Source organism: Homo sapiens, chromosome X (genome assembly GCF_000001405.40).
Source record: "Homo sapiens chromosome X, GRCh38.p14 Primary Assembly".
Taxonomy (NCBI): Eukaryota; Metazoa; Chordata; class Mammalia; order Primates; family Hominidae; genus Homo; species Homo sapiens.
In genome coordinates, this window is record NC_000023.11 from 55,107,011 (window position 1) to 55,118,649 (window position 11,639).

The 11,639-nt window shown below is 41.1% G+C and overlaps 1 annotated feature.

Annotated features, from left to right (window-relative positions):
• Window positions 9,619–9,916: a transcriptional cis regulatory region, noted in NCBI's record as "candidate enhancer chrX.1184 targeted for multiplex CRISPR interference". NCBI's record gives its function as "positively regulates ALAS2 gene expression with high confidence in K562 cells {active_cell/tissue: K562}" and the evidence as "EXISTENCE:mutant phenotype evidence [ECO:0000015][PMID:30612741]".

Consider the following 11,639-nt stretch of genomic DNA (forward strand, 5'->3'; position numbering starts at 1 on the left):
TGTGAAAGCTAAAAAAGTGGGTGGTGGCCTGAAGGTAGAGAGGAGAATGGTGATTATGAGAGGCCAGGAAGGTTAAAGGGAGAGAGGGATGAAGGGAAAAAAGAAAATAAATGTATTCATTACCACTGAATTGTACAGGTAAAAATGATAAAGATGATAAATTTTATATGTATATTTTTACTTCAATTAAAAAAGAATAAAATCCACTATTTCTTGTTGCATTGTGTATGAGTGATTAGCACAGGGCCTGTCCATTTTAGGCTTTTTAGAAATAGCCACATTTTCCCTTCTAAAATTGATTCTAAGAAATAACTGATTGAATGTAAAAAGACTTATGATCAAAGATGTTTACAGTAGCCTTTTTTTTTTTTTGTAATAATGGACAATGTATGGCTCTAGAGCCTGTGAACTTTCCATCACATGTTTCAAGTAAAGATATTGACATTGCTGGGAACAACTGTGGAAGGTCACAGTGAAAGGTCAGTTACTGGGGTGAAGTTAGTAGACAGATTTAAATGCTGGGCCAGTTTCCTGTTACTTGCAAATTATAAGCAGAAACACTTAAATTTTACTAGAAAGAATATGAAGAAGGTGGATTTAAAATTTTCTGAATGGACCAAGATTTAATTCTGGCTCAGAAAAGGGTACTTAAAAGTAGAATCTATTTATTATACTTGATATGTCTGTCTGCTTGAAAATATTTGTAAAATATTTTATTTTGATTTTTAAACAGTATGGAAGTGCCTCAAAAAACTAAAAAAAAAAAAAAAAAATAGAACTATCATATGATACAGCAATTCCACTACTGTGTATACACCGAAAAGAAAGGCCCTCAATTAATGTTTATATCTGGAATGAATGAAGTGCTTGGTACAGAGAGGGTGCTGAGTGAACTACAGCCTTTATTATTGCTGCTTTCCTGGTTGATTGAAGCTAAGAGGAGAGGAGATAGTCAATGAGAGAACAGTACAAGTTGCCAAGACACTGAGGAAGGAAATTGCTTGGATGTGGTCACCAACATCCACCTAGTTGCCTAGACCAGCACCCTAGCAGTCGTTCTTGATTGAGCAGGTGCCACCCTTATTAGTCAAATGGTCCACACCCAGCATGGAGAGGAGCCCTGAGGCAGGAAGTAGGAGCCGGATTCCTTTGTAGTTTCCTTTATGCCACCTCATCAAGCCTCAAGTTTATAAGTGCTTCAAATTCCCAGTCACTCCCTGTTCTGTTGTCAGTATTTATAACAGATATTAATATTAATATTACCCCTCTAAATATGAATGCAATTCCAGTGCAATCTGATCATTCCCTCCCATTAAATGACTATCAAGAGTAATGACAATGATTATTATTTCCAATCACGATGTGTTGAACACATCAACACTGTAATATAAACTATGAACCCTAATGTATACAGGGGGAAAATGAAGCTCAGCAAGAAATAGTGGCAAGGCGAGTTGGAGAACATTGTGGTGGCATATGTACACAGTGGAATAGTATTCAGCCTTTAAAAAGAAGGAAAGACAGAAATCTTGTTACATGCAACAACATGGATTAACCTGGTGGCCATTATTTAAGTTAAATAAGCTAGGCACAGAAAGAAAAATATTGCATGATCTCACTTACATGTGAATCTAGAAAGTTGAACCTAGAAGCAAAGAGTAGAATGGGGTTACCAGGGCTGGGGAGTGAGTGGGGAGATATTGGTTAAAGAATGCAAAGTTTCAGATAGGAGGAATAAATTCAAGAGGTTTATTGTATGCTGCTCTGTCTATGGAGTAGCTGTTCTTTTATTCTTTTACTTTCTTAATAAACTTGCTTTCACTTTGCACTGTGGACTCGCCCTAAATTCTTTCTTGCATGAGATCCAAGAACCCTCTCTTGGGGTCTGGATCCAGACCCCTGTCCTGTAACATATTTCTGGCAACCACAGAAGGGACTATAGTGCAGAAACCCTGACTCAACGGCTAACTTTGGGTAAGTGTTGGGGTCCTGTAACATCTTTCTGGTGAATCCTGAAGGGACAATACTGAAGAAACCACCCCCACCAACCCAAAGGAAATAGAGTGCAGCACTGATTGGATGACTTTGGGTAAGTGGTGGGGTACTTGAGTAAAGAATGGGATTGGGTTAGAGGCCCAACTTAGGGGAGTTAGAGTCTCTCCTAAGACAGAGTGGGTTAGAGGCCCCTCTTAATAAAAGGCAAGGATGCTTGACTGACCTTGGGTTAGAGGCCTGACTTAGGAGGGTTAGGGTCCCTTCTAAGATTCAGGGGGTTAGAGGCTCCTGTCGGTAAAGTCCCTCTCAGCTAAGAACGGGTTCGGCACTGTGGAATGTGAACTGCTATTCTCTTTGGATTAATCTGCCTTGCATTCTTTGCTGATGGCTATGGGTGATAAGATTAGGCATGTACAGGATTGTGGGACATGGGAAGCTTTTTCCTCCCTAAAAGGGGAAACTCGAGAGCTGATAGGATTGCTGGAAAAGATCCCTGCTCAACTGGCAGCAGCCGCCTGAACTTTTCAGTGTCACTGCAATGGGTGGGTCTTTCTCTGGCTTCCCTGATCATTTCGCCGTCCCCACCCTGCCACAGGCAATGCTTTTCTTTCTCTCCTTTCTCTTTCTTTTCTATTACTCAGGGCAACAATCTTGCCCAGAAACCACATGTTGAAACTCCTGGTCGGAGGCTGGATTAACAATGACAGGGCCCAACCAGGGAAAAGTTTAAACCTTGCGAGTTTAATTGTGGGTGCTAACCAGAGTGGGTAATGTCTATATTTTTTCACATGGATTTTGCTCTGGCCAGAACAGAAAAAGATAATTTTTCCTTTGTGTTGTTGCTTGGTGCCTAGGGCTATGGTGTAGCCAGCCGGGTCACTAGGCCTGCTCAGGGAAAGGGAACTCAGAAGCCTGGCATGCCAGCAAAAGGATAAGAATTTCTTACCAGTCAGATTTCTGGCACTTTCTCTCTCTGTGTGTGTGTGTGTATGTGTGTGTGTAAACTGGATGTTTCCCTCTGGTCAGTTATGCCCTTGGGAGCTTGACCTTGTAACGATGTGGCCATGCTTTCTCTTTTCACAATGGCAGCCTGGGTTCAGGGTTCAATTCCCAGCTTAGGGGATGATCCTTTATCTTCTATCTGTCTATGTATTTATATGCGTTATGTGTGTGATGTTTATATATGAAAGAGCTTTAGTTAGTTTGAAAATAAGAGCTTAAATCAAATATTTTTTCAGGAAAGTAAAAAGTGTACTGCCTTTTAGTTATGTTTCAAGAACTGTGGCACACTTGTTATTAAATTCTAATCTCATCAGTTGTTTTTAAGTTTGTTTCTGCAATTTAGGCTAACCCTGCTTATGCCTGTAAACCAACCAGTGATCTCTGACTGCTGCTCAGAAGAAACAAGAGGGATGATGGGTAATGTAAAAATCTGGATCAGTATTCTAATTCTGGGCACATTACAATCAGCTAACAAACCCATATCAGCTTAATTCCAATAGTTGCTCAGTTCATGAAAAACTTTCTAATTTAGTTTACTTGGAATAACTTTACCTATTTTGCTTTACTCTTGTGGAATATATTGCTGTTATACTCTTTGTGTAGGAATACAGGACAAGCTTACTGAATGTTTTCTTAAACTAAACACGTATTAATCTTCCAGATATCACCTCTTGTCAAAACTCAAGAATCATAAATGGCCCTCAATATACTGATGCTTTCTAACTGAGTTCCTCTCTACCCTGAACACAAGAGACCCTAATAGTTAGGCAGGAATATCGTCGCCCCTGCTCAACCTGAAGAAGTTACAGAAGATGGATCTTCATCCCTCTACAACCCTTAGGGTTAAGGGTTCACTTATAAAAGGGAGGGGGGAAATGTCAGAGGCATGTGAACCAGAACTACCCCATCTTGAATTGGAGCTGGGTAAAATGAGGCTGAAATCTACTGGGCTCCATTCCCAGATGGTTAAGGCATTCTAAGTCACAGGGTGAGATAGGAGGTCGGCACAAAAGACACGTCATAAAGACCTTGCTGATAAAACAGGTTGCAGTAAAGGAGCTGGCTTAAACCCACCAAAACCAAAATGGCAACGGGAGTGACCTCTGGTTGTCCTCACTGCTACACTCCCACCAGTGCCATGACAGTTTACAAATGCCATGGCAACATCAGGAAGTTACCCTATATGGCCTAAAAAGGGGAAGCGTGAATAATCCACCCCTTGTTTGGCATATCATCAAGAAATAACCATAAAAATGGGCAACCAGCAGCCCTTGGGGCTGCTCTGTTTATGGAGTAGCCATTTTCATTTTCTTTTACTTTCTTAATAAACTTGCTTTCACTTTGAAAAAAAATCTATTGTACATCATGTTGACTATAATAATGACAATGTATTGTATTCTTGAAAATAGCTAGAAGATTTTGTGTTCCCTCCACACACAAAAAATGCTAAGTATGTGAAGTAATGCCTGTGTTAGTTAGCTTGATTAAGCCATTCAACAATGAAGATGTATCTCAAAACATCATGTAAACCAGGCACAGTAGTGTTCCCCTGTAATCCTAGCTACTCAGGTGTTGGAATTTGCTCAGGATGGTGGCAGAAATATTAGGGAAAGTTATAGGGAATAGTCACAAACCTTTTTGGAAGGCCGAAAGGTTACATAGCTTGTAATAATTGAACAGGCTGAAGGCGGCTTGTTCTTACCTTAGGGCATTAGGTCATAGGGTAAATACTAGGGACAATAGAGGCTTCCCCAGTTAAGTCTGTTTATCCTACCTCCATTAACTAACCTTTGAGCCAGATGGCCCTATGGGGGGGGAGAGGGAAGGTCGACCAGGGAAATTGCACCCTAGTGGTATTTACTTTAGATCACAGTACCTGAGCTTTAATCATTCATAAAACTTCTCTCTTAATCATGTTAATTATCCACGAGTGTGTTTACTCCAAGCTTCTTTTGTTAATTCTATTCCAAATAAATGCCTGAAGTGCGAGCTGCTCAGGGCCACGGCTGCCATTGTTTACAGGACTCTCCTTGGAGTCTGTGAGTGGCCTCGGACCCTCAGCTGCACTGGCGAAGCAGAATATCTGTGTGTCAATATACTTGATTCATCTGTTGCTGGGCCAGGGGTCTGCAAGGGACAGACTCCCTGCAGCTAGTGCCCCTGCAAAAGGAGCACTGCCTCACTCAGGAGGCTGAGGTGGGAGAATTGCTTGAGCCCAAGAGTTTGAGACCAGCCTGGACAACATAGTGATACTCCATCTCAAAAAAAAAAATCATGTTTTACTTGATAAATATATACAATTTTTATGTGTGCATTAAAATATATAAATAATTTTTGAAAAACAGCAAAACAAGATGTTCTGATGATATCAATACTGGATATTTAAGTTTAAATAATTTCTTGGGTGGAGTGATAGTGGCGGAGTGATGTGAGGAGAATGATGCCAAGGAAAATTATTTATAATTTATAAGCAACAGTTGGCATCAAACACCACTGCAGAAGTAGTAACACATCTAATGGTTTGAAGTATTCTAAGCACTTCATATATCTTCTCTGACCTACTGGAATTTGACCCATAAGGAATCAATTAAGTGTTTATTAATTATTTTGTGCATTGATTTTCTGACCCTGAATAGAATGTCTATGCTTCAAAGACAGGGATTGTGTTGTCTTCTGGTTCTGGCTTTGCCCCCAACAAATATCTAGCAGAATAGGTACAAAAGCGTTTGAGCTTGTCGAAGAGAAGGGATAAAAGAAGGATGACTGGCTAACACAATGTGGCTTCTAGAACGAGGCAGTAGATCCCTTCAGAGCCGCCTGATGTTAGGGAAAACACCCATACAATCCAGAGCCTCAGTCTCAGCTCCCTAACAATTCTATCTTGAGATCTCTCTAAAAAGTAAGCATATTTATACACTCACACCTCTTGTGTTGAGGATTATATGATATAAGGAATATAAATGTTGGTGCTTGCAAGTGTAACCCTGACTCGTGGGACTGTCTCTTAGCCCTTAACATCCATTCCTTAGAGGCAGTGGGGAAAGCCATCTGGAATGCAAGCTCTGGAGCCACAGCCTGGGTTTATATCCCAGATCACACATTCACAAGCTGTGTCTTTGAGCAAGTTGTGTGACCTCTCTGGGCCTTGGAAGCTCATTTGTCAACTGGGGATAATGATTGTACCTACCTTATAGAATTATTGGAGATGATTAAATGAGGTAAAGCATGTGAAATACTCTGCAAAGTGCCTGGCACACAGGACACAATTGCTACACTTCAGTTTAGGGCAACATATCGTGATTAATAACATCTCCCCACAACATACCTGCAGCCTGAGTCCTCTGTTCAAGTTTAGGCCTTTGAATTAGGAGTAAATATATTATTATCCTTCCCCATCTTTCCCTGAGACAGGGGAAGAACCATTCAGGGTCACTTTAATTCTCAAACTCTCTGTTGAGATCCCACCAGAGGAACTGAGTTCACATGAACTTACCTGTTCAGAAATCTTTTCTGGGTACACAAGAAGTTATTTTTTTGCTGCAACAGACCCCTGGATATACGTCATCAAAAACAGATTTTCCCAGAGTAGTACTTATTTTCTCATGAGGAGACTGTCCTTGTGACTGGCTGGGTACTTTCCAGAGGGCTGTATGAGGAAAACAGATTTAATCCTTTACATGTCATAAAAAGCAGGACACACATCTTAACCTTCATACCATTTTGAAATGGCGCAGTGGTGCTCTGGGCCCCATACTAGAGTCATAACAGTGCTGTTCATAGTCATCCATAGTAGACACTGGAGAACAAAGAAAGAAACATGGAACATCTAAGCAAAGGACACCAGCACTAATGTGAAGGTGGAAGGTACTTGCACCTGCAGGCAGGAGCCTATGCTTCCAACTGCTTTCCATAGTGGGGAGTGGGGCCCCACTGCCTGCCCCCAATACTGTCCCTTCTTCAGTATCCCAACTTCTGACCTGTGAACTCAGTTCACATTTGTAATTCCCCCTTGAGTTACTGTGTACTTTTACAGCTCTCTTTTCCTATGCCTCTTTAGTGTTTGCTTGGGGTTTTCTCAGTCAATCTGATTCAGGAATTGCCCATAACTTCTCAGGTCTAAGGTTCCTCTTCCTTATTTTGCAGTATAATTATGATTCAAAGGTAAATCTCTATTCTGGCATGTTCTGAGACTTATGCCTGGAGCCAAAGACTAGAGCCTCTTCTCAGGCCACCATCTGGATTCCACATCCAGGTGGCATGGGAACAGGACATTTCTGAAAACCATTGCTAGAATGATTATGTTATGTGGCACTTTTGTATTTTTGGCATCACTGATGATCATCAGGAGCATGACCCAATTGATACACTGTAAGGTAAGACCCCTAGAGAATACTGTAACATAGTCAAATATATATATATATATATATATATATATATATATATATATATATATATATGTAATGGCAAGGGGAAGGGTTCAAGGAAACAGACTGAGAAGGAGTGACCAAAAGAGGCAGGAGGAAAGTAAGCAGAGTGGCCTTTCTGTAGAAGTGAAAAATGTTACCTGGACTTTCCAAGTCCCATAATCACTGGGTTCACGTTCTTGAACCTGCTGAGATAAGCCTAAATGGCACATATGCCTCCCATCTACAAAGTAAAAATAACAGACAGGAATGTTGCATTCTTCCAATAAGTATTTATTGCAGTCCTACTCTGCTATATCAATTCATTGTATACAGGAAGGCTCCAAAGAAGTACTCATAGCAGCTTCAAACTGCATTGTCCAAGATGCACTGTGAAAGGGAAAATGTGTGTTTTATAGTGGTATGATAAGGTTCTGAACAAGGTGTGGGGATAAAAAACACATAAACCCTCTATATTAATAGAAAGTTGAGCTGAAAGATTTGCTGTATTCAGTCATTTACGGTATATTATTTCCAACACACTAACTGATGTTTATTAGTTGTATAAAAATAGCTACAGTGGGCCAGGTGCGGTGGCTCACGCCTGTAATCCCAGCGCTTTGGGAGGCCGAGGCAAGTGGATCACGAAGTCAGGGGTTCGGAACCATCCTGGCCAACATGGTGAAACCCCACCTCTACTAAAGATACAAAAAAAAAAAAAAAATAGCCTGGAGTGGTGGCACACACCTGTAATCCCAGCTACTCAGGAGGCTGAGGCAGGAAAATCGCTTGAACGCAGGAGGCAGAGGTTGCAGTGAGCTGAGATAGCACCATTGCACTCCAGCCTGGGTGACAGGGCGAGACTCCATCCCCCTACCCCCCCCAAAAAAATAGCTACACTGTACTGAGTGGCATGGGTCATCATCACTCATACATAAATGTGTCAGAGCATCAGTGAGCACCAGGCTCCAGGATCTGTGCTTTGGTGGACTTTTCTCACACATCCATGTTTTCTGCAGGTTAATAGACCTCAAAGAGCTCACAGTTGGTGGGGACGGGGAGCCATATTGAAGATAATGACAAAACAACAGATGAAAACCATGGTGGGCATGAGAAAGGGGAGGCTCGAAACACAGAGGGGGGCCCCTTAGCCCAAGTGGTCGGGAACAGCTTCTCTCAGGACACGCTATGATGTATAATATTATAATCCCCACTTGCAGATGAGGTAACTGAGGAACAGAGAGGTTAAGCAACTTAAGTGGTGGAACACATTTTCAACCTATGTCTCTTGAAATGCAAAGTCCTTTGCATTGTGAATGTTACTAATCTTGTGAATGTTACCCATCATGATATGGTCATCTGTTTTGATTCACATTCGTCACCCATACTTCCTCCTTATCTTGGTTCACTCCTTTACATTCTTCAAATCTGCTAAGTATAATAAATACATGAGGCCTTTCTTCTTTTATAGGCTGGATTGCTACTAAAACGTTAAGCTTTAATCCATTCTCCATCCACAGAGTGGGTTAATGAGAAATGAATGGATCACTGCTGCCAAAGTGTTAACCAGCCTGTTACACTGAGTATCAAACACAAATTAAAAATGCTATCCATATGCAGTGATCAATTGGAAACCCACTGCTCCCCTTTAAATCTATTCACAACACCCTACAATAGTGGATTTTATCAAATGTCAGGAGTTCCCTTGCAGGAGATAACACCTGTTTGATTTTCCATATTCACACACACCAGTTATTGAGCATTGTTAATAAATACTGCTCATTGCCATATGGAAATCCTTTCTTATTTTTCTTGGAGCAATGGAGCCAAACAAAGCCATGGAGCCAAGCAAAGCCATGAGCACTTGATTGTTTGACATATTATCATATGACCAAATTTCCAATAACAGTGCAACTCTGATGCCCAATATCTGCTCCACACAGGCAAACTGGTTATCCAAGGAGTCATTCACTCACTAGATATTCCTGACAAACTTGTTTAAAGAAGTATAAGCTAATGAAGGAGATCAAAAATATTGAAACATGTCTAATGATACCTCATATGTTCTAGAATGAGATTCTCTGATTACTTCAATATGAGAAATGTGTTTCCCTATTGAATTAACCTTCCATTGCTGCCATAACAATTTGTCACAAACTCCATAGCTTTAAATTGAAGAAGGAATTAATGAAATCAACTATAACCTAATAGTAGTAATAGATATTTTAAAATCCTCTTAAAGTTGCTGCAAAATATGACCCCCCCCGACCTTACAGTCAAGTTAAAAGAGAATATTAACAGCCTGTCTTCTCTCTGTGGACAGTGGACCTTATCTATACTCCCCAGCTCCACATTCCTCAAAGTTTATTACAGGCCCAGCGAGTTCCTGCACGGCTGCAGGGTCGCAAGACCGATAAGTTTAGGTTGCAAGACATGTTTCTCTCAAGATGTAAGAAATGTTGTAAATGCTGCCTTTGTTTCTTGCTTCTGTAACTTGCTTCCTGCCTCACGTAGTTCCCGCCTTAAGATGTTTAAAAGTAGGAAAAGCCCTTTGTTCAGGGCTCAGACTTTCTGTACATTTGTCCGGCAGGAATCTCAGATCCCATTCAGAGACTTCAAAGAGGTCTCACCCATCCCATTGGCACTTACAAAAGGTCCCACAAACCCAGGGAGGAAATGGTACCATTTTCTCCAGACACATCTGTGAAATCTGTCTGTGAGGTCTTCACTCATTTACAGTTTGTCATTTTAATTCCGCTTAGCACAGAACAACTAAGAGTAGTACGGTCTGCAGAAAAAAAAGGAAATGAAAAAATGACATAAATCTTGCCCCTACACTCAATGCCCTTTTTCTGGACCAAGGATAGACTAGAAGCCCAGCTGTCCTGGCATAGTCCTCCATGCTGATGTGTGGCTTACCCAGGCACAGTGTGCATGACTTTTCCCAGGCCATGGCTGGGCTGTTTGGGTCTCCATGTTTCCCACCTCCAGGAGAGCAGGAGAAATGGAATTAGGTCTCAAGGCCTCACCCAGACAAGACTCATGGAGGCTATAACCAGGGCTGGCCTCCTACAAGTTATCCTGCAGAGAAAAGCTATATCTTCCCTGATCAAGGAAGCGTGGAAGAGGGTGATATGGATCTAGAATTGATGCCATGTTCCAGGCAGACAAGAAGAGATTCAAACTGCTTTTGACTAAAAAACCCTTATATAATGATAACAATACCTAGAATATATTGGGCATTTAATAAATCACAATACTGTTGCTGCTACTGCTATTGTTACTGCTGCTGCTGCTACTACTACTACTACTACTAATAATAATAGCAATAACAGTTCTCATTTACTTACTCCTTCTAACGTACCAGACACAGCATCAAAAGATGTGCCTTCACTTATCTTTTAACTGTTCCCATCATCCCAGTTAGCCAATCAGGAAATGGAGGTCCACAGAATCATAGTAACTGCCTAAGTTCACAGAAGTAGTAAGTGCTGGAGCTCAGATTCTAACTCAGATCTGCTTCATTCCAAAGCCAGTTTTATTAAACCCTGTCCTATAATGTCTTACATCAAGAAATAGTAAAATATGTTAGAAGGTTCTAGTGTTTGGTCCTGGGGTCCTGGGCGATGACAACTTCTGACTCATCATTATACCAGTCACCTAATATCTAATCAGTAGGATTGCCTGGATCTCATTTCTTTAATTAAACAAGGGCATAAGAGATATTCTATATATGGGCTAAAATCTGATCATCCTCCTTATACCTACTCACAGGGTAAGATAATTAAATAAAAGAGAAAAAGTGATGGTGAATGATCCAGTTATCTGTTGCTACATTTTAAAAAATGCTCCACCACTTGGCGGCTTCAAGCAAAAAATGTATCTGTGTCCCACATAGTTCTATGGGTTGGCGGGTATCAGCTTTCTTGGGGTCTCTCATGCAGTTGTAGTCAGTTATGAATGGCAACTGTGGTGTTCCAAAGGCTCCACTGGCCTGGACTTCCAAGTAGACTCACTCACATGACTGGATTTTCATGCTGACTGTTGGCTTATTTGAGGTTTACAACTTTGTATCCTCCACCTGGCCTTTCCCTATCTCTTGGGGTTCTCTTAGCATGATGTTTGTGTTCTCAGAAGGAACACTCCAAGAGTGAGAGTTTTAGGAGACATGGGTGGAATTAAGTCTTCTTATGACCTAGACTTGGAAGAAACATGCATCACTTCTGCCACGTTCTATTG